Genomic DNA, 24,702 nt, shown 5'->3' on the forward strand with positions numbered 1-24,702 from the left:
TGTTCCCTAATATTTGTGCGTTTTCAGCCTACACCCGCACATATCTAAACTGTTATCAATGGCATGAATGAGTCAAGACTTCAGTGAGGCAGCACATATTTCAATACAATGCAACTTCGCTGGCCACAATCAATAGAGTGTTTTTCACTATGCCATGCTTTGAGTATTCAGCAATCACTTCAGAATGGCAGACTGCCGTAAAATAGAGGCCAAATCCTACCCAGAGAAATTTTATGGTTTAAACAGATGTTCTAGAGAATTACTGAAAATTAATGTCCCAGTCCTAAGGTATTATGGCCAGTTAATAAGTGACATGGTGAACCATTGTGTTGCAACAAAACATAGTAGGTACTTGCCTTGAATAAATCAATTCTTTATTGTCATATTTTTGTGTCTTTCTCCAGATAAGACGGGCTGCTCTTTGAAAGTAAAAAGTACGTCTTTTTGCTTTGTATTTCTATGACTAGCACTGTGGCCGAGCTACGGTGTGCAGTGGATGGATGGATGGATGATGGATGAATGGATGGATAGACAAATGCATGGATCAATATGTGCATGTATGCCTTTGTGCCACATGGTACAATGTAACAGGAGACCTCGGCCAATGGTTGCAAATGCTCACATGACAAATGACAATCATCAGATTTACCAGATGCACAAGTTACAGTCAGAAATAGGTAGTATCTGATAATATCAAGATATATAATGGGACCCAAGAAATAGATTAAAGACTGACTTTATAAAAATACAGAACTGTAAGCATCAGCATCTGACCAGCCCAATCTCCTGGCTTCCAAGTAAGAAAACCATTCTGAAATGTTAAAGGAAAGGCCAATCATACATAGAGAGCTAGAAGCAGAGCTATAATCAGAAAACAGAGGTACCAACTTCAGTCCAAGGCTTGTATCACCTTAGGAATTCTATCAAGTACACACTCATGAAGTGACATTTCCTGAGGAGGTTGGCACTGGGAAAAACGGAATCCCAAGGAAGAACAAGATTTGAAGGTTTTTCCCAAAATGGTTATAATTTAAGTGGATTTATCAAGAACAATTTGTATCTGGTAATTAGGTAGTGATTCCAGAATGGAACAGGACATGAGCACCTTGGAGGACAGGACATTTGGCCTAGGGAGGTCTGGGTTGGTGGAGGACAGGACATATCTGGAGCTACAGAGCGAGAGTGGGCAGGCAGTTCAGGCATTCTCCAGTTGGCATAGACGGGACAGAATTCCTACGGGTGAGGGCTGAAAAAACAACAGGCACACATGAAGTCGTGCTCTGGGAGTTAATGAGAGGAATTTAGGTAGCCAAGAAAGAAAACTAGGCTGATGTGAGGCAACAGTAAGAAAAAATACGAAGCCACAGTAGGCTGGACCAGAACACTGTTGTGGTAAAAATGGAATCTCAATTAGCATAAGACAGTGAGCGAATGGACAGCAGTGGGAGAACCTGACAATGAGGAATTTTGAGGTTCTTGTAGATTCAGGAGTAGAATAAAGTCTGAATGCTAATAGTGACCAAGTTAGAACAGAAAGCAAACCAAAAAGACAGATGCACTAGAAACGTGATTGAAAAAGACCCAGAAGGGTTAAGTCAGGGTCTTTTAATGCAGAAGTTACTTTCAAGCTATTAATGAACAAATTAAAGACTACTTGATGTCAGGCTGTGCAATGGACATTTCTATGACGGTGGAAATACTCTATGCCTGAACTAATATTGTATCCACTGAACGTATTTACATTGTTTTGTAATCATGAGAAACTGAAATTTAATTTCATATAATCTATATAAATTTAGATTTAAATAACTACAAAAACCGGTGGCCACATGTGAAGTTTGGCACACAATGCATTCAGTGTACTATAGAGCTATGAAATGCCTAAGGAAAAGGAATAAAATTCTACACATAATAAGTTTTATACTGTTATATTCTTGATGCATAATTGCTACATTCTAGGCCACCATTGCTCTCAAATATACTGGCACCAAGAAATTCTATTGCCATTTTCAAGTTGAAGTTTTCAATTATCTTTCCTTTCCTGTAACATTCTAGAAAGGATCTGAGACAATTATACAAATGTATACCAATAACATTTAAGTAGACAAAAAATGGAGAGAACATGAAATACTGAGAGACTACTGAGGACAAAAGATAAAGAGAGCATATAGAAATAAAACCCAGAATAGATGACAGTTTCTTAAGATAAGTCCTGACCTTCCTAGTGGCCTAAGGAGAGTCAACATTGTACTCTGTAACCGTTGTATTACCTATAGCATAGAAAACTTATGTGTCATTCAGGAGAACTAATATTTTTCCTGGACTGAAGTTTGAATCACGCAAATGTCTTTGAATCGCACAAATCATTTGCCCAAATCGTGCGACTCTCTGTAAGCTTGTGAGCCGTGAGTTGGCACGTTCCTGCCGGAATTGGAGAAGCAAAGGCTGAAAGAAGCAGGCAGATTGACAGGTGATGTAGATGCATGGAGACAAAGAAGGGGTCTTTGGACCAATGGTTCTGTTGCCCCCGAGACCCACCCCTGTCCCTGGGAAACAGGAGACACCCCCATCCTTGATAGTAACCCCCTCCTCTCTTCTTATATTAGCTTTAGTTGGTTCTGTTCCTGTCAACCAGATGAGCCTTAGTGCAGAGGGGAACATCTTGCAGGAGTTGACGAAGAGCGGAGCAGTGTTAGTGGGTGATTTCCTCAGCGACCACGTTGTAAGAGGAGATTGTGCATCTGTTTCTGTCTCTGTTTCTTGCACTGCCCGTTGCTGTGAGTTGAGAGTTTAAGGCTGAGGCACATTCAGCAAGGGTCATTTACAGAACTTCAACAGCACACTCACCAGCCCCTTTCCCCCCCACAACGTGCAAAGTGCAATATCACCCATATTAAATTGATTGAAAGTTAAATTTTTGTCATGGATTCCATGATACCACTCACGAGCATTTGTGAGCTACAAGCTGAAGACCTACCCGTCCTGAGCTGAATCGAGAAACCTAAGCATTACCTTCAACGCCTGCCTGCCCTTCCTCCACACGAGGCCCATCACGAGTCCCACTGAATTTGGTCTTTCACCTCTCCTCTTGCCCCTTTGCAACCATTTTCCTCCCTCCAGCAGGAGTATTCTTTTAAAAATGCAGATCTGATCATGCCACTTCTCTTATATGAAGCTTCCAGCATCTGACTTCCAGGACTGCATCCTCCAGGGTGGGCTTGCTGGGCCCTGCCCATTTGCTGGTCTCTTTCACTCTCCTCCAGCCACTCTGGTCTCTCCATGCTACAGACATGCTTTGCTCTCTCCTGTCTCAAGGTTTTACCTCAAGTTGTTCCTTTCTTCCCCTGTCCTGCCTCACTTCCTCCGTTTCTTCCATCTCTTATCTAATCTGTAATTATATAGCTGCATGGTTTTTCATAAATATCTGAAACCCCCACTGAATTGCAAGCTCCTTGAGGGGAAGAAGCTTATCTATTCTGCAAACCGTTGCTTCTCCCTGTGACGCAGAGCCTGCAGTGTAGTAGATACTGCCTATAAAATGGACAGGATGCTTGGATTTGCTTTATCTGACATTTTAAGGACACACTTTATAAATTGTAGAGGCCTATGCAACCGTCTTTGTTTTTACTTAGAGGATACAAATTATATCATTCAACAGGATGCCACAGTTCCATATATTTCTCAAAATGTGACCAGATGCACCATTTTTAATGAAAATTAAGCTCTACTTCCAAGTTAAGGGAAAATTATTTTAAGCTATTGATACAAGTTTTAAGAATTCAGTAATTTAATTGTGCATTTCTATGTGAAATAAAAACAGGAAACTTATTAGGGTGTTTTCTGTAATATGAATAATTAATATTTGCAATTTAGAAATCTATCTCCCTACAATGTAGCTGTAGTCTCAGAAGGAAAGTGTATTAAAACAATAGCTAAATGCTTTCAATTCAAAGTACTTGGTATTAAATCCCTCAGGCATCAAAATAGCTCTGTAGTCTTTTCTAGAATAGTATGCCAAGCAGTCTTAAACACATATTTTATTGGCATCAGAAAAGCAACTGCAAATGTTTTCTCTTGTATTCAAACTCCTTTAAAAAAAAGATTCCATTGCTGAGCTCTGACAAATATGCCTCCTACTACCACACCAGGTTCCTTTGCAAACACACAATTCACAATTAAAAGCAATTTTGTAAAATGCCTTGGAGTGGTTAAATATGTAATTGGGTAATTTTCTGAAATGCTTATTACTTACTTCAGCCTCATTTCAGTCTCACTGGTAAACAGTATATTCCTGTTAAGTGTTATTATCCCCAAAAACGCTTCCATAATCTTCAGTGTTCCTTTAACATTCCTATAAACACATCATATATTACTTGGGGACGTGGATCATGAAACACAGAAGCTACCCGTGCCAGTCCCTTATTTAAATGGCAAAGTGGTCTTCCTTGTCTCTGAACCCGGGTTTTCTAAATCATTCGCATAGTGGAAAATGAACAATAGGACTTTTAAACCTCCTTATGATTTAGATTATATCTTAGCTGGTTGCAAATCTCATTATCAGCTTTACAGCTTGATTTATTTTTATTTTTGGATCAGAAGGAAGAATGGCAAAATTACAGCCTAGACGTTTGCTTTGGAAAATAAAGTTTGAAGTTAGCTGTTGTTGATTTATACCCAGTATGCTATACTTAGCATGAGTGTACAGTTAAGCATACTTTATAGGTAATTACTCCTTCTATTGATATGATGATAGCTACAGAAGCTGTGTACAACCGAGAACAACACCCAATTCTTGAAACAGTACCTTCTAAAGTGGTATATTAGGCAAATAAAGTGTGATGATGGTGGTGGTATTTCATCCAACAAGAGATATTAGATAAATAAATTGTGATGATGATGGTGGCATTTCATCCAACAAGAGGTCTTACTCCCTCTGAAACCAACATCTTTTACTACTTGCTTAGTTATATATGAACAATAAAAACTCACCAAGATCACTGATTTTGTTGAAATGAAGAGAAAGTAAACAGTCTCTAACTGAAACGAGCATGTTCAAATTAAAATAGGGAGTAACAAATCAAAAACAAAATAAAACAAAATGCTTTGAATTGTTTTTGAAGGCAAAGTGTCCCAAATACTTTTACTTCTATGCTCTATTATTTTAGGTCCTACTTTTCTACACCATAACACAGTATTTTAATATTAATAAACTAGTTTCCCTCTATGTTAATAACAGAGATCAATTAAAATTTGGTCTTTGTCATTTTGCAGTTAGGTTATTTTAACTCACAATACAACATGTACAGTTCTTTTATTCTACAAAAATATATAGTATTAAGAAACCAAAACCATTTTAATCAAAATTTCTGCTATGACTTGAAGACTACAGAAGCCCCTATTTTTGCCTGTTGTTCCCTTGATAAAGTATTGATATGGAAGTCTCAATTACTAAAACAGAAAAAACTTATGCCTGCTGTCATTGACCACATTTTTTTTTTTTTAGACAGAGTCTCGATCTGTCACCAGGCTGGAGTGCAGTGGCTCAATCTTGGCTCACTGCAACCTCCACCTCCCGGGTTCAAGTAATTCTTCTGCCTCAGCCTCCTGAGTAGCTGGGACTACAGGTGCACGCCACCATGCCCAGCTAATTTTTCTGTATTTTCAGTAGAGACGGGGTTTCACCATGTTGGCCAGGATGGTCTCGATTTCTTGACCTTGTGATCCTCCCACCTTTTTTGTTGTAAAATAATCCTTGATATGCTTTATGGACAACCCCTCCCCACGGTTCCACAGAACACAGTTTGATAAACATCAATCTAAAGGTACTGCAGAGAGGCTGAGATGCTAGTGTGTCTTGCAGAGCCATTAGGAGGCACTGTCTCCACGTACTGATTTGATTGTATTTTTTCATGCTGAGTCTGACCAATTTCATGGATTCAGTAAATAGTAAGACTTGGTTTAGGGGCCAGCAGACAAGGATCATAACATCTTTGAGGTGGAAGAAGTCCTAGACATGAAAGAGGTTTTGTGAATAAAAGGTGGAGAGGGAAAATGAACTTTACAGTCAGGCAGACCTATGTTTACATTTAGCTTCTGAGAGCCTTAGTTTCCTCATCTGCAGAAGGAGATTATTAGTATCAACCACAGAGAATCACTGTGAGGCTTATATATGGTAATGTACGCAAAAGGCCTGCCCTAGTATCCAGTAGCTAGAAAGTAACGTGACCAAAATAACCAGGTTAAGTTGGGGTAGAGTCAGGATTAGCCTCACGACTTATAGTTCAGTACTATTTCTACCATAGTGATCTAATTTGAAGAACAAGTTAGCTAATGAGTGCATCTTGCTGTAGGTCCAAAAACAACCTCCAAGACAAACTCAGCATTTCCCTTACAACAATCAGCATGGGCCGGGCACGGTGGCTCATGCCTGTAATCCCAGCACTTTGGGAGGCTGAGGCGGGCGGATCACTAGGTCAGGAGATCGAGACCATCCTGGCTAACACGGTGAAACGCCATCTCTACTAAAAATACAAAAACAAAATTAGTCGGGTGTGGTGGCGGGCGCCTGTAGTCCCAGCTACTCAGGAGGCTGAAGCAGGAGAATGGCGTGAGCCCGGGAGGCGGAGCTTGCAGTGAGCCAAGATCAGGCCACTGCACTCCCGCCTGGGCGACAGAGCAAAACTCCTTCTCAAAAAAAAAAAAACAAAAACCAATCAGCATGGCAGAAAAAAGAACGCTCCGAAGCAAAGCTGCAAGCATTAACTATTGTACTTCTGATGCCCATCTAAAGACACACAGGAAATTTGCTTAGAAATTATAACACGGTGGAGAAGTAAACAGTTAGAAGTCACTCTCAACTGAGGCTGTTTAGGTATTTGTAACTATGTTACCTTAAAGGTTACTGTTCTAATAATAAAGTTGTCCTGTCCTGGCTGGGGGTGGGGGGCTGGGGGTGTGGGGATGGGAGTGCAGGGAGGTAGGGGTCTTCCGGACACTGCATCAGGGGAGGTAGCAGCCCCTCACTCAGGTGTGACTAGGCTGGGATAACATGGATACTGTGGTATCCCTAGAGTATCCATGTTATCTGGCTTTAGTGATGGCATTCCTGAAAATGAAATGTGTATCTGAAATGTGCTTTCTGTTAAGATGTATCAAAAATTTATGTTTTCCTGAATTTTAAAACTGACTGGTTTAGAAAAATGAATGGATGACTTCATTTTTTCTACTTTGTTCAAATCTAGTCTAATTAAGTTTTTTTTTTTTCTGCAGCGTAAGACATGAGTTATGTCAGAAACAAGAGGTTCTGATATTTGAAATGACTAAACACGAAGGGGGCTCCCAAGGGAAGTTAGGGTATTCCTTCTGAAAGTCCTTCAAGACAGGGTTGATTTTTAAGTGTTTGGGATGGCTCAAATGCATCTGAAATAGATTAAAACTGAAAATATTAGTGCATCACATATAGTAGGAAAGTATTATTTTGTGAAAGGGTTTTCAATTACATGCGTGTGTACATTTTATATGTTTATAGCTCTTGATGTAAAATGTATCTCTTTCCATAGGTAGCAGCAACGTAACTTTGAAATCCACTGGCCTAGATCAGTGCTCTCCAAAATTTTGGTGGAAAACCCCTATTAGTAAAAATAAAGAATTGATTATGAATACCAATACTGATTCAATGCAAATACTGCTTCTATTTTATATACATTTAAACACATGGAAAACAAAAGATAGAAAAACAAAAAAAATTTAAAGGAGGATATAAAAAGTAAATCAAACACAGAAATTATAAAGTTTTCTTCCTGTAGCCCAATGAACCATAGTCTGGAGTCCACTTCTTTTAGTGTAGCTCCCAATTCCATTAGAATACCGTGACCCCAATTTCAAACTACATATCTGTTTAATATCATACTTGATTTCAGTCCACAAGCACATAAATGAGTTTTATTCATTACTCATCTGCAGCCTATTCAGAATACAAAATTTTCTGGAAAGGACTTAGAAGTTATACTAACAACCCAGTTAAAGCAGCCTACCAATGCTATCAGTGAGAAGAGAAAAATAATACAGAGTGGTAGCCTCAGTAATGCCGCTATTTATACTCCTACATATACCTCTTTCTGAAAAAGATTAGTTTAGAAAATCTGGTTTTGTGCAATAGATCTAATATAAGAATTTTATAAAGAACTATCAATAACTTTCCAAGTTATTTGTTTTCACAAGCACGTATTTATGGAACGTTTTACATTTCTTATAATGTTAATCCCTGATTCAAAGGAATTAATTATTCCTATATCAAAGTATTAATGTAGAAAATGTCAAAAAGAAAATAAGATTTTTACTTTTCAACTATACAACTTCAATTAAACCTACATCGCAGCTTCAGGTTTCCCGTGTGAGTCACGCGTTTCTAGAATGCATTCTAAAACTGGTGCATAGGTTTGGTGGTGACTGGGTACCAGGTACTGTGCCAGTCATTTTTATATACCATCTGATTTATGACCTCTGAGTTCAGAATTCTCTTCATTTTAAAACGAGGAAATCAGCTCGACATCCAGTTGAGTGGGCTGGTCAATGAATTGGCACCATCTGAGTACAGGGTCCTCACTTTGCCCAAGGTTCCTGAAGCATGAACATAACCAAGCCTACTCCTTGGAAGCTGGGCTCCCAGTACCCCTAGAGGAATATCTTTTTGACAGAGGCTGCCAGATGTCCGCCTAAATTCCTCTTTTCTCTGGTTCCTAGGCCTCTACTCAAGGGTCCATTACTGAGACTCCCTCGAAGGTATATATAGCCAAATGACTAAGGCCTAGCTTAAGGATCTTAGGGGTGTGTGCTATTTCTGGGCTGGGATTATATGAAAGATGCATGCCTAGTTTATAATTTCATTCCCCTCTGCCAGCTGGATCTTGGATGTGGGGATTAAGCTTGACCATGGAGATATGGACCAGGCCCAGTGGGATAATAAAGGCAAAAGATACAAATGCCCCTCAGAAGATAACCACCACCCACCTGAAACGCCCACCCCAGGCAAGAATTATGCTGCGGTTGTGTGTGAGCCACTGATTACATTGTTGGCTTTACTGTAACTGTTGGCAGTTTAGTCCACAATAACTGGACGCCTCAGGTCCTGACAATCCATCCTGGGAGAGCCAGGGACTGAGACATGACCACAAATGCTGTCCTAGCCACCTGCACCCCCAAGAAGATGCTTGAATCTTTACATTTACAAAGCACAGGAAAGTTAGGAGGATCCATCCTGAAACGTCTGCTAGTGAGTCTAGATTTTCAAATCAGAAAATTGGCAGAAAGAGCCCTGCATTCCCCAGGGACACTGCGTTGAAGCTCAGGAAACCAGCCCACATGGAGCATGGGGAAGGGCTTTTGGGAAGGCTGGAGGACAAGGCGTGTCTTAGGAACACCCAGTAGCTTAACCGCAGGGAGCAGAACTTACATACAGAGGGCTCACGTTCAATAGGCCTTTTCTGAACTTGGGGGTGCTGAGTATTTAAAAACTATTTCAGAATTGAGAAACTGATTGTTATAGGATAAAATGTGTACCCCCAAATTCATACATTGAAGTTCTAACCCCAGTTCCTCAGGATGTGACTCTATTTGGCAATAGAGCCTTTATTTATTTATTTATTTATTTATTCATTTATGAGACAGAGTTTCATTCTGTCACCCAGGCTGGAGTGCAATGGTGCCGTCTCAGCTCACTGTAACCTCCGCTTCCCAGGTGCAAGTGATTCTCCTGCCTCAGCCTCCCGAGTAGCTGGGATTACAGGCGTGCACCACCACGCCCAACTAATTTTTGTATTTTTAGTAAAGACGGGATTTCACCATGTTGGTCAGTCTGGTCTTGAACTCCTGACCTCAGGAGATCCACCCGCCTCAGCCTCCCAAAATGGTGGCATTACAGGCGGGAGTCACTGTGCCTGGCCGGCAACAGGGCCTTTAAAGAGGTAACATGAGGCTATTGGTGTAGATCTTCACCCAATCTGACTGGTGTCCTTAGAAGACGAGGAGATGAGGACAGAGGCACAGAGGGAAAATAGACCACAGGAGGACACAGGCAGGACGATATCTACCAGCCAAGGAGAGAGGCTTCAGGAGAAATCAACCCTGCTGACACCTTCATCTCAGACTTCCAGCCTCCAGAACTGTGGGAAAATTAATTCCTGCCGTTTAAGCCACCCGGGCTGCGGTATTTTGTAATAGAAGCCTGGGCAAACTGAGACAGTAGTTGATGGCCGGGCGCAGTGGCTCATGCCTGTAATCCCAGCACTTTGGGAGGCCGAGGTGGGCGGATTACGAGGTCAGGAGATCGAGACCATCCTGGCTAACACGGTGAAACCCTGTCTCTACTAAAAATATAAAAAATTAGCCTGGCATCATGGCGGGCACCTGTGGTCCCAGCTACTCAGGAGGCTGAGGCAGGAGAATGGTGTGAAATTGGGAGGCAGAGCTTGCAGTGAGCCGAGATCGCGCCACTGCGCTCCAGCTTGGGCGACAGAACAAGACTCCACCTCAAAAAAAAAAAAAAAATAAAATAAAATAAAATAAAATAAAATAAAAGCACTGCTGTGCTTGAGCCACAAGAAAGAGCTGTCACAGGTAGCAGCTTGGGGGAGGGATCAGGAGTGATGCTGAGGAAGTAAATAAGATTACTTCTTTGAATGCTGTTCTTATTCCTCCTTCCTTGTGTTTCACCACTGCCTTTTGTACAGTGTTTTCCTCTATAAATATATAATTCCAAGACTGGTGATGTCTAGTAATGGTTCAAAAAGCAGAAAATATAAGAAATATTATTTTTTCCAAACACTCGAGTAGAATCAGTGATGGAACATGTGAGATCACCTGGAGGGCATTCAGACTTTACTGCAAATAAATAATACAATTACTTGGTTTGGGTATTAGATATTTATGTTCATCTTGACATTAGAATATTAAGCCACTCCTCCTCTTGCTAACTTGGTATGCATTGAAAACATGAAATTCTCTCAGTCTCCTGCTTTGGAACCAAACAGTATAAACCCTCATAAATATGTAAATCAACCCCTCTAAGCACATTATTAATTATTTCAAAGATAGTAGGAGGTCACTAGCTCATAGCAATTTCTATGCATGAAGTCTCAGTAACACAAGACATCGCACAGGGAGGAAGAATAAAGTTTTATCACAGTTACCGAATGTGTGTGTGTATGTGTGTGTGTGTTTGTATGTAAGTGGCCAAAGCAACATACAGTATTGAATGCAGCACCACTAGGCTCTGAATAGACGCCTGTGGGTGATGATGATGGCGGTAGTGATGAAGGAACGGAATCTACAGCTAGAACAGTATTTTTTTTTGAACCTGTCTGCACCAGGAATAATATTTTTAAAATCCAAAGGGATTCCAGCCTCAGATACACTTAAATTGTTCTTGACCCACATGGCCCTGCTTTCTTCTGGAATAAAGTTCTGACTAGTTGCAAAAATCCATAGCTCAGGAAGATATAGCAGGCATCTCATTTCCTGTGACACTGCAGAGATCACAGACTGTGTTGCTCAATGTGTCTCTAATGTTGCATATTGCCGAGCGGCTCTCTGGCTGCTGTAAGTCAGCTTCGTTTAGGTGATTCTCAGCAATCGACATGTTCTGATATAGGCCGTGGGGCTCGCTGAGGTGGAACCACCCAAAACACCAAATCTGAAGCAGTTGAGGACGTTGGATACAACACTGACAGATGATGGAGGATATTTAACACAGGCAATGAACTCTGCTTTTTACAATTCATCAAACAAATATAAGACGCACTCTCACCAAAGTGCAATAAACTGATCTTGTCATCCAAGCAATTCTTCCCAGTCACTAGTCCAGTTTGCTTTTAAATCTCTGATTGTAAGCTTAAAATTTATCTGATGAAAAAGATAATAAACTATTTTCACACCCAATAACACACATCCCTCAACCCAATGAGGAAGACAGCCATTATCTAGTGTAATTAACAAAATATATATAACAAAAATAAGAATGAAAAAACCTTGAATGGAATAATTTGCACATATATTCAGAGGTTCAGGACTAGGAGTATTACTGGAATTTAGATGGTTCTGGAGAGGGACATTTGGCAAAACCTTTCAAGCACTACTAGTTTGAAAGTTAAAAGCAGGCAAAAACTTGCATTATTTAGGGTTGTATATATAGGTGGTAGTGCTACAAAGAAAAGCAGGGAATGATAATTATTAAGATCAGATAGTAGTTATATCTAGACAGGCAGAGGAAGCGGCTATGGAGGAGATCACACGGAGGCTTCTGGGCTGCTGGCTCACATTGTGTGATCCAGGTGGTGGTTACAGAGGTTTTCTATAACTATGCAAATCTATAACTATACAAGTGCTATAAGCACTCTTGTGTATGCATAATATGGCTCATAATAAATTTAAGAATACATCAAACCATTTAAAATGATATATTTAAAGGTCAATTAGTATTTTATTGACTACGTTAGAATCCTCCCAGCCTCAGGAGGTGCCCACTCTGATGACAATGCAGAATGCATACATTCAAAAATTGTGCCAACTGCTGACGAGGCAGGGGGAAAGAATTCAGGCCATTCTACTATCTGTTTATCTATCTATCATCTATCTATCTATTATCAATCAATCAACCCATCCATCCATTCATCTATCCATTTATCTATCTGCACATACACACTACACAAACACACACTAAAAAGAAGAAGAAATCCTAAAGACAGCTGTTTTGAGCAACTTTTGTAGCTACCTTAAGTACTGACAGACATCTTTCCACATTTCTTTGCATAAGTAATAAATTTATAGCTAAAAATTGTTTGTGTTTGCCCTCATAAAACAAAGGTAGAATGTGCTTTTTAAGAGTTTTTGGCAGAAATGGGTGGAAAAAATTATTTTTATTCTCTCTGCTATTCAGAACATTCCCACCTTATTTTTGCTTTCTCAAATGTTATTTTATCTTTAAACACTTAATAAGATGCAGAAAAAGAAGAAGAAGAAGGGGAAAGAAGTCAGTTTGGAGAGTCGAAATTCAAGGAAAGTAAGAACTGGGCAAAGTTGTCTTGGCGTTCCTCCCAGAGAGGAAGGGAGTGATGCTGCTGGAGCTGTTTCAAACGGACGGACGGAATCACTTCATCTGTAATCCAGACACATGCATGCATCAGGCAAACATAAAATTCTGTTGTCTTCTCTGAAGTAGAATTCTATAAAGGCAGCATTTCCAAGGCCAAAAAGATGACCGAACAGACAGTGCCCTGTTGATCCAGCTAGAATGAGCTCTGCAACACCATCAATTTTGTCCTACAGCTCTTTTTCTGGTCCTTGTCCGTGTACCAGTCACTCCTTATAATGAAGTCACTTGATTGAGTGTTGTTCCTGTTGCAAGCAGGGAGAGGAAAGCTGAGAAGCCATTCAATAAATGTTATGTTTCGCCCTCCTCTCCACCAGCGTTAGAGACTGCTGTGTGTTGACAGCCCGTTTGCTTTTTCTCCTTGGCACAGGGCCAGATCCTGTTTCCTCCCCCATCCTTTCTACTCCCTGAGCACACACACACACACACACACACACACACACACACACACACACACACACACGGCGTGGCTAGGCAGGGCCATGTGGCTGAGTTCTGGTACAAGGAACGTGGAAATAAGTGACATGCTCCATTTGCAGGCCTGGGATCTAAACCTGAGTCTCCAGTGTGGTGTGCTGCTTGCTCTTCCTCCGCCAGCTGGCCCCATGAAGAGGATCGAGCTGAGACACAGGGGCTGCTGTGGGTGACAGAACCAGAAGATGGCAGGATTCGGGTCTGGGTCCCTGGATAACGGAGTGGAGCAGAGGCCCCTTGGCCAACCCACACTGGACCATGACATGAAGGGAAATCAATCTTGACCCTGTTCAGCCACTGCGATTCCAGTGTTGCTTTGGTTAGAGAAGTTAGACTATTACCCTGACTTTACACCGCCTCATGCATCCAAATCAAAGGAAAACTGTCAAAATTGCTAAATCATTCCCAAAAATAAAACAGGAAGGAGTTTAAACTCCGAAGCTTAGGAAGTTTGATTTAATTTCAATCAATTTGGAGGCAGAAGGAACTTTGAACTTGGACTACAAGCACATCAGGAGTTAGTTTCAATGTGGCTTCAATCCTGGTGCCACCATTTTCACAGTGGCAATTATAATTATACAAGGTCCAGGAGCTAGAAAGAGAATGGACTGTCTGTTTCAGCGAGGCAGGCAAACAGACAGGCAGACACATGGAGATTGCATGTGGATAGGCTCTGGGTAGTTTAACATTTTAAAGCTTATAATACGGATTGCCAAATTGCTTTATGGAAATATATGAATTTATATTCTTACCTCTTTTGAATGTGTGTCCATCATTTTATATTTTATGCTTTAAGTTAGCAATTCTTTTTTTTTTAAGACAGGGTCTCACTCAGTCACTCAGGCTGGAGTGAAATGGCACAATCATGGCTCACTGCAACCTCAGCCTCCCAAGCTCAAGCAATCCTCCCACCTCAGCTTCCCAAGTAGCTGAGACTGTAGATATGCCCCAACACACTGACCTAATTTTTAAATTTTTTGTAGAAAAGGGGTCTCCCTGTGTTGCACCAGGCTAGCCTCAAATTCCTAGGCTTAAGTGATTCACGTAGCCCTCCCAAAGTGCTAGGATTACAGGCTTAAGCCAGGGCACCCAGCCTAAGTTAGCAATTCCGTAGCAACTAATTATGTTGAATTTTTAATATGCGTGTTGGCCATTTGCATATATTCTTTTGTAACGCATCTTTTAATATATTTACCTAGTTTTCCAATGTGTTTTAGGAGTTATATTAACATGATTATTTGTATTTAGGAGAGCAATGTTCGAAAACCAAAAAATATTCCTTCATATTAGATTTTATGTTTTGCTCCCTAAGTAGGTGTCTGCAACCCAAGTTTCTTGACTCCCTAGGCATCGAGAATATCTCTGTATCTAAACAGGATCAGAACTGTCTGTCTCATGCTGCACTATGACTGACAACAACCAAGAAGCATAACGGACTATAGTTGGTGAGCTGAGATAATAGATGGAAAGGGAATTGCATTCTAAGTTAGGTGAAAACTAGAATTACATGAAAAGTGACCTGGGAGTACAACAGTAAAAACAAAAAACAAAAGGCAAAAACATAACCGATGGACTTGAATGGTACTAATGGTGAGGCTGATGGCATTTCATAGGGAAGGTGGGAAACTACTTCCTCAGCCCCTAGAGCAACAGAAAAATCTGTGCTACCAGGGCTTATAAAGGACAAGAAGTAAGTGCATTTTGCATAGTAGCCATCATTCTACAGTAGCACTCTCAACAAATCAACCTAAATACATGAAGCTCCACCAAGTTGGGTGAGTGCTACTCAGTTTTAAAAGGAGATGCAGAGGGTGCTTCATCATTTCAAAACAATTCCGAGCATAGACTACTAGTAATAGCTGGCAGCAAACCTTTCAGGATAATTAAAAAGATTTTACCAAAGCCCATACCTTTAGGTAAGAGTTTGTCAGAGGTTCTGGAAATAGGCTGTTTTGGCTATGTTTGTCAATCTTATTTTCAACTTCATCAAAATGTACTGAAAAACTCATGCTAGCTAGCAAGTCAAATCACTAGAGATTACATAGACATGGGCAGAGGGAGTATTTTTGCATTTATGAATGCTACAGACTCCCATTGAAAATGCCTTCTTGCTTACAGACTGCCCACCCCAGAGTAGTTCTTAAATATTTAAACGTGGGAACTTTAACAAACCATGATGCCTAACCTAAAAGGTTACCATTTAATTGGTCTGAGGCATGGCCTTGGCATTGGGATCTTTAAAAACTTCCATGTAACTGAAAAGCATATCTGGGGTTGAAGACCACAGCCTAGGGAGAGGCAGGGCAGCAGAGAAGCAGGAGTACGGAGCTCTGGAGCCAATCGTATCTGGGTTAAACTCTCAGCTTTCCTCCTCCTAACTCTGTGATCCTGGTTGCTTAATGATATCGAGCCTTTACTTCTTCCTCTGTACAAATAAGAATAATAATTTCTACCTTATAGTTGTTTTAAATATGAAATAGTGCTAATAAATTAGAAATGTTCTTTTCTTGACCTTCTTCCCATAGAACTTTCAAAGGTATGATAGTTTAACTGTTGAGGCAGGCTTATCTATTCACACAGTGATTAGGAACGCAGGCGCTAGAGCCATAACTCTCTGGCTTTGTACACCAGCATGTGCAATTTAATGAACTTCTGAGGTTCCATTCCTTCATTTATAAAAATGAGAAGAATAACAACATCCATCCTAATAGGGTTTTCTGGAGATTCAATGGAGGTTTATGAGTAAGCACTAAGAATGGCACCATATTTATAGTAAGCGCTCATTAATCATTACTCGTTTTTGAATTTTAGGGAAATAAAATTTCATATCCTACCCTTAGAAAGTATAACACAATATCTGGTCAAAGAATGAGTTCACACTAGGAGAGCAGGGTTTCTACCTGGATGGTATTTTAAGCCAGTTTTAATTATTCACCATCATAATTTTGTCAATGAAAAAGATTGGTTCATTGTTGCCTGGCCATACCTTGAAGAATGTATAAGGTGTTTAGCTTAAGAAGTTTGAAAGAGACACAAAAAACTAGACGATGGAAACAGAAAAGAACATCTTATTACACACATCTTGATAGCAAGAGGTATTAGATATTTATCTAGAAATGAATATATACAGACACTGTTAAGACGTTTGGTGCATGAGACCAGTGTAATTTGGAAAATGGTTTGCTAACTCTACGGATATTCTCATATATATATATTATATATATGAGAATATATATATAATATATATATACACAATATATAAGAGATATTTTATATACATATATATCTATATATGTATATATAGATATATATGTATATGTATATATGTATATATGTATATGTATATATGATATATGTATATATGTATATATGTGTATATATGTATATGTATACGTATATATGTATATATGTGTATATATGTATATGTATACGTATATATGTATATATATGTATACATATATATGTGTATATATATGTATGTATATCTAGTTAACAGTCCCAGGGGTTTAAAAATTATTATTATGGTCTTATAACATCTGTATTCAAATTCTATTACATGATTTCCTAGGCTAAGGAGACACTAAATAATGAATTTGGGGGAAAGGACCATTTGTATGGGCTAGGGGCAGGGTGGAGAGGAGGTGAGGGCTATAGCTGCATTTATGGAAAAGCACAGAAGATCCTGGAACAGTGCCATGCATGGGACATTTGCTTCTTCCACAGGTTGAGTGGTGACTATGCCACCCCAGCAGGAGGAGTCATTCCAATTTGTGGTGATCAAAGTCCTTTGGACCACACCAAGATAGAAATACAACCACCAAACAAATTCAAAGAACATATTTACCAATAAATCTACCCCATTTGCAGCTTCATTCACACTCCTAAGTTCAGGAAAATCAAGGAATGGATTGGAGCTATGGATTCCAGTACCAGATTAATCCATCTTTTATGATTAGATAGAAACTTTATCATTGAAAGGAACCGATGGCTTTAGGGATAAAATGTCCTTTGATTGCATAAATAAATCTTGCTTTAATTTTCTTGGAGGAATTACAATCCAAAAATAGCCAGTAGTCCCCACGGGGGCTCAAAACAATTCGCACAGGCATTTTAAGCTGGGATGGTGGAGAGGTTAATGGACCACTCTTCAGAGAAATCAGCAAGGGCCACTCCCAAGATTCCATACGTCAAAGACAACACTGGGGTCTGACTCTGGAGGTCCAGCCATTTTATACAATTAGAATTGCTGAGGAGGTCAGCCAAGAACCTCCAGAGAAACATTCCACAGCACCAGGAGTGCACGATCAGCAACGTGCCCAAAGTGCCCATCGTGTTGTCAGGGGCTGTGCTGCATCTGACCACAGACAGGATCAGGCATGGACTCTGAAGCCTTCCCGTAGCAGTCCAGCTTCCATAAAGCTGTGCTTTCAATACATTATTTGTTTCTTTACAGAATTAACTGTCATTTCTGTTTTCCATACGTATTATTAATATATGTTATTTATTTATTTATTTTTTGAGACTGAGTCTTGCTCTGTCGCCCAGGCTGGAGTGCAATGATCTCGGCTCACTGCAACCTCCACCTCTCTGGTTCAAGTGATTCTCCTGCCTCAGCCTCCCGAGTAGCTGGGACTACAGGCACCTGCCACCACGCCTGGCTAATTTTTGTATTTTCACTGGACACGGGGTTTCACCACGTTGGCCAGGCTGGTCTCGAACTGCTGACCTCAGGTGATTCGCCCACCTTGGCCTCCCAAAGTGCTGGGATTATAGGCATGAGCCACTGCGCCTAGCCAACATATGTTATTTATAAGATTCATAGACATTGATATAACCTTTAGCTCCACCACAGAAGAAAGCTGTGCCCTGGGAGTAATATGGGTTCCATCAGCTCTTGTTCCTGATAATCTACCATTTTGATTTATAGTTTGATAAGCTTTGATCCTATTCTTTCCTTTCCTTTCTTTTCTTTTTTTTCTCTTTTTCTTTTCTTTTCTTTTTTTTTTTTTTTTTTTTTTGAGATGGAGTCTCGCTCTGTCACTCAGTCTGGAGTGCAGTGGTGTGATCGTGGCTCACTGCAACTTCCATCACCTGGGTTCAAGCGATTCTCCTGTCTCAGCCTCCCCAGTAGCTGGGATTATAGGCATGTGCCACCACACCTAGCTAATTTTTGTATTTTTAGTAGAGACAGGGTTTCATCATGTTGGCCTGGCTGGTCTCATGCCTAGCCTCAAGTGATCTGCCTACCTCGTCCTACCAAAGTGTTGGGATTACAGGCGTGAGTCACTGTGCCCAGACTATAAACTTTGATTTTCTATTTCTATTTTGTTATCATTTTATTTTATGTGTCTTGTTCTATGCTCCACGAATCAAGGCAAAGCCAAATAAACCAAGAAGAGAGATCACCAGATAGATGGGTAATTGGCTGATTTATGCATTGAATTATAGGAAATCCCAATCCCAACCTACAATGAAAGAATGTCCAAATGCATGTTTCTCTGTAAATATACACATACATGCAGACATAGACACAAACACAATATGTATATGTTTACTGGAGTGCATGCTTAAATCACAACCAAAATAACAAAAGCCAGTGTACATTGCGTGCCTACTGTCTTCAGCATGTACCCTAAAGGTACTTCATAAGGCATTATTTTAATGTGTCCACATAAAATGATGCTAATGCATTATCCCCATTTTACCTAAGATGAAATCAAGTCACACTAAGGTGAAGAACCTTGCCCTGTATTATGTATATAGTAAGATTCAGAGCCAGCATTTGAACTAGGCTTTTCTGAGGTGCCGTATATAAACCAGGATTTGTGAAAAATGGTTCACTGGTTTATGGGGGTAATATTAGGACTTACACAGGTATTATGCAAAAAATATGAAAAGAATTGACCTCCACAAAGACTTAATGTACAGAATGATATGTGTACCATCTCATACCCTAGCCTGTATATTGGATGGTCATATGTCATGTATTGCAAAGGGGTTATCCCAAGGGAACAGGGAGTCCCACAACCACCACTGGAGAGTGGAGCCCTCTCTTGTCAGTCACCTTTCAGCAGAAGGTCATCTGTGCTTGGCTAAAAGAATAATGAATAACTTATCTCATTTTAATTAAATTAACCCTATTAAAACAGATAGGTGACTTAAAAATAATCCTTCAAAGAAACTATTAATTAAAGATAGAAGTAATAATCTAAACATGAGGAAAATGAGAAAACGGCAACACTGACGATGTCGGTACATACGTGAACATCAATGTGATTATAAAATAGGCTCCGAGACAGAAGCTAACGAGAGTAGGGAGCCATTATATTTAGCAAGACATTTAAAAACTAAGCAAGTAATAAACAAAATGAGTGTCTCTGTTGAGCAAATATTAAAGAAAATCCAGTTTGTTCTTGACAAAATAAAATCTATGACATCTGAAAGTTTCTCTTTGCATAATATAGGGAAACATTGTAATTGGATATACAGTTTTTAAAAAGGCTGAAATAACACATGCTAAACAATCTTGTGACAAACCGAACTATATTTTCTCATGAGTGAGTACTTACGGAGATACATACTAAAACATGGCTGAAGCTATGAAGAAACAGGGATGGAACCGAACCATGCCATGTGGAAGACTGACTACACAGTTGAATGGCAGTACAGTTGTTTCTAGCCTGTCTCAGCTTCTGGTTACTAGTTCATTTTTTAAAATAGCAAAACACACAAATATGTAACTTTAGCACTTGTAGTTATTAAACATTAAGGAAAAGAGGTGCCAGGGAATATAAGTTCTCAATAGCAACTGGTATTTTAAAAAATAAAAGCAAATTTCTATGAGTATTATATTTAAGTAACCAGTGATGAGGTGGCCACATTCACAAAAAATGTGTAGAAGGATTCCAAAGAAACTTTGCAACGCAACATCTTTCCATCCATTCATCCCTGCCTCACTCCCTATTAAAACCAAGAAGTTGAACCCAAGAGTGCATAAGATTCTGAGGATGGCATTGGCATACTGAATTTAAAAATAAAAGTCTAAAAGGTGTTTAAAACACAATTAATATTTAGTAGAATCCATATAATGCATTTTAACAACATAGAGCTTGACCACGCAAAATTCTTTTCAAGGAGGTTGTTAGTTATCTCGTGGCAAAGAACCACCGAAATTAAAGTTAATTTACGCACATTCTTTACAAGTGACCCAACTTTGCTAATCTTTTCTGTATCTACAAGGGGCTGTCAACAGTGTGCTATACAGAAAATATTTTTGAAAATAATATATGTAACCTGTCCCTGAAAGAAAAGGTGATGTTTTCAACATGACTGAGAAAAAGAAACACCAAAGGATCCTAAACACATGAAAAGATGCTCAACTTTGTTTAAAATTAAAAAGAAACATACAGCCAACTACATAGAATAACATTTCTCAAATATATAATTAGAAACAAAGCAAAAGCCTTGCGGCTCCCCTGTTGGGGAGGAAGTGGAGAGCCTGATACTGCACTTTGCAATTGCTGATGGGCATGGAAAGCGCACCACTACTGGGAGAGAAATTTGGAAACAGTAAAATAAATACACATTTTCCCTTTGGTGCAGTAACCCCTCTTCTAGGGAGCAGATCCCAGTAATACTCTGACAACAATATGAAAATACGGGTGCACACAAGTCTATTAGTTGTAGCAATATTTACAGTAAAAAAATGAAAACTTAGTGTTTGCCAGTAAGGAAAAAGTAAGCTATACCTACACAAAGGAATTCAATAATGCTATATATTTTTATATGTAAGAAAATATCTATATCGGACTAGGGAGTGATCTTTAAAATATAATAGGTACTATAGAGTGAAAAAAGCAAGGTAAAGAAAAATGTGTATAATCTACTTTCTACTTAAGAAGGTGACACATCTATACCATTTTTGATATCATCTATAGTATGTTTACCTATTTTTAAAATAGGTGATTGTTTTTAATAAACGTTTACCTTTGGGAGAGAAAAGGAATATTATTTACCTTTATTTATTTATTATTTACCTTTGGGAGAGAAAGAGAACGTAGATAAAGGGTGTATTTCTTTGAATATAGCATGTTTTGTAGCTTTTGCTTTGGAATAATGGAAATATTTTACATATTATGAAAACACAATAAATTTAAAAGCAATGAAAGGCCAGGTGCAGTGGCTCATGCCTGTAATCCCAGCACCTTGGGAGGCTGAGGTGGGCGGATCACCTGAGGTCAGGAGTTAGAGACCAGCCTGGTTAACATGGCGAAACCCCATCTCTACTAAAAATACAAAAATTAGCAGGGCATGGTGGCATGCACCTGTAGTCCCAGCTACTTGGGAGGCTGAGGCAGGAGAATCACTTGAACCCGGGAGGCCAAGGTTGCAGTGAGCCGAGATCATGCCACTGCACTCCAGCCTCGGCGACAGAGCAAGACTCCATCTCAAAAAAATAAATTAATTAATTAAAAAATTTAAAAAAAAGCAATGAGAAATACATATTCAATTGATGACATAACTATACATTAACTTATATGAGTTTATATCCCTATAAGGATATACCCTAATGACAAAACAAACTGCAAAAATCTTAACATTGTTTTCAATAATCACACTTAGGTGATGGTGTCGATACTGTAATACTGATACTGTTGTGGGTGCATTCCAAAGTAAGGCAAATGAGTAATTTTGTTGGTATCACTCAGTAACAGAATTTTTGCCAAGGGTGAAAGAAACAACAGTTGTAATATTGGTGACTTTTCAATGAAAATTTGGTAACACTGGATTTGAACTGAAAATGTTAGTATAACTAATATTGCATTTGTACTTAAAAAAAAAAAAGTCTCCTAGCTTATTCCACTAGGCCTAGAAACAGTAACCAACATGGTGACAATGAGCATTCCAAGCACCAAGACTTTTAAATACTATTTCCTACGAAAGGGAGCCAGAGGTCCTGAGAAAAATGGCTGCTTGCAGGTCATTCGGCGAGAATTACAAGAAAGGTCGAGAGCACCTTGGTACACTGCAAATCCTGACTAATGGGTGCAGGAAGGTTCACTGTAGTATTTTTCCTTACTTTTGTATGTTTGAAATCGTCTAAAATAAAAAGATACACATTAAAAGAAAATGGGTTCAAAATGAACTGATAACTAAAAAGATAGAGTGTGAAGGGAAGACTTGAAAATGTGTGTTTAGAAATGTTTCTATTGTTTGTGGCTTTGTGAAGGCAGAAGGCTTACCAAAACAAAATTGTCACATTAAAAGCATTACAGAGTTTTCCAATCTGTAAATAATAAACTTCACTAGATTTTGGATGCTTTTGTTAAAAAGAAAGGCACAATAACTTTCAACAAGTTTTCCTTAACAATATGTTAACATATATTATGTGAATCTTAGTTTTAAAAATCATTGCATTATTGGTAGATATGCTTAAAAGTGAGTATCATAATTTACAAAGTCAACAAAGAAATTAATTTATTCCATTTGGATCTTTTTATCATTTGGAGGTATATTTTTCAGCTATAATTGACATTAAAACTAAATCTTGAAATAAATTGAACTTAAAACCTCACCATTGAGTCAAGGTATCCCATAGTTTCAAATTAAGTTTTGAAGAATTAATGAAACATATTTAGTCACATTGCAGTCATTTATACATAGAGAGAGATAGGAACTTTTACTTCACTCCAGGTACATAAATTACCTCAAACTAGATTAATGACCTAAATACAAGAGGTAAGCTATTGGTAGAAAATATGGAAGCAAATCATCATGATCTCAGATATGGCAATGAAGTCTTTTGTTTGACACAAAAAGTATTAGCAACAACAACAAAAACAGATAAATTGCATTTCATCAAAACTAGAAACTTTTGTTCACCAAAGGACGTTATGAAGAAAGTGAAAAGACAACCTATAGAATGGGAGAAATATGTGCATATCCTATATCTGGTAAGGATCCAGTATCCAGAATATATAAAGAACTCTTACAACTCAACAACAAAAACATAACTCAATTTAAAAATGAGCAAAGAAAGGACTTGAACCGACATTCTTATAAGGAAGAGATATGAATTAAGATAATCAACATCACAGTCATTAGAGAAATGAAAATCAAATCCACAATAAGACACCACTTCACACTTACTAGGATGACTAGTTAGAAACAGTAACAAGTGACGACAAGAATGTGGAGAGAGAGAAACCTGGGACATTGCTACACTGCTGGTGGCAATATAAAACGGTACAGCAGCTGTGGAACACAGTGGGCAGTTCTCCTAAAGGTTAAACTTCGAATTCTGCTTCTCGGTATATATCCAAGGTAAATGAAAGCAAATGTTCATACAGAAACTTATATATGAATGTTTACAACGGCATTATTCATAATAGCCAAAAAGACGGAAACAACACAAATGCCCATCAGCAGATGAATGGACACACAAATTGTGGGGTATCCACACAGTGGAATATTATTCAGCCACAAAGAGGAAAGAAATATTCATACACGCTACAACTTGAATAAACCTCAAATACACTATGCTAAGTGAAATAAGGCAGACACGAAAGGTCACCTATTGTACGATTTCTTTTATAGGAAATACCTACAATAGGCAAATCCATAGAGAAAGAAAGTGATTGGTGGTGGCCAGGGCTAGGACAGGGGGTCACAGGCAGTGATTAGCTGGGTAGGAGGTGTTCAGAAAGTTTTGAAGCCAGGCAGAGGTAGTGGTTGTGCAACATTGTGAATGCACAAAATGCCACTGAATTGTACACTTGTAAATGGTTAATTGGTTACATGAATTTCACTTCCATTAAAATGTATATATGTAATAACAGTATAGTACAAGTAAAGGGTGCTTTGTAATGTGAAAAGATAAAATATTAAGTAGTTCAGGTTTATCTCATTCTGCTTTCTTTTTCACATATGTTATTTTATATATATTGGGTATGTGTTCAACATTTTGAGTGATAGAGGTATACGATTTAAAAATTAGGTAATACTGCTCTAGTTCCACGGTAACAAATCTAGAACATGGAGAGTGACTCTAACCCACAGAAAAACTTAGTATACCTTGGCTGAAT

General features: G+C 38.9%; 1 protein-coding gene across 6 annotated transcripts in view; it reads right to left on the bottom strand.

Moving 5' to 3' along the window:
- PRKN (parkin RBR E3 ubiquitin protein ligase) overlaps positions 1-24,702 on the bottom strand; it is a 1,380,350-nt gene that overhangs the window by 413,410 nt on the left and 942,238 nt on the right. The gene's annotated exons all lie outside the window — the stretch shown is intronic.

Source organism: Homo sapiens, chromosome 6 (genome assembly GCF_000001405.40).
Source record: "Homo sapiens chromosome 6, GRCh38.p14 Primary Assembly".
NCBI classification, from domain to species: domain Eukaryota; kingdom Metazoa; phylum Chordata; class Mammalia; order Primates; family Hominidae; genus Homo; species Homo sapiens.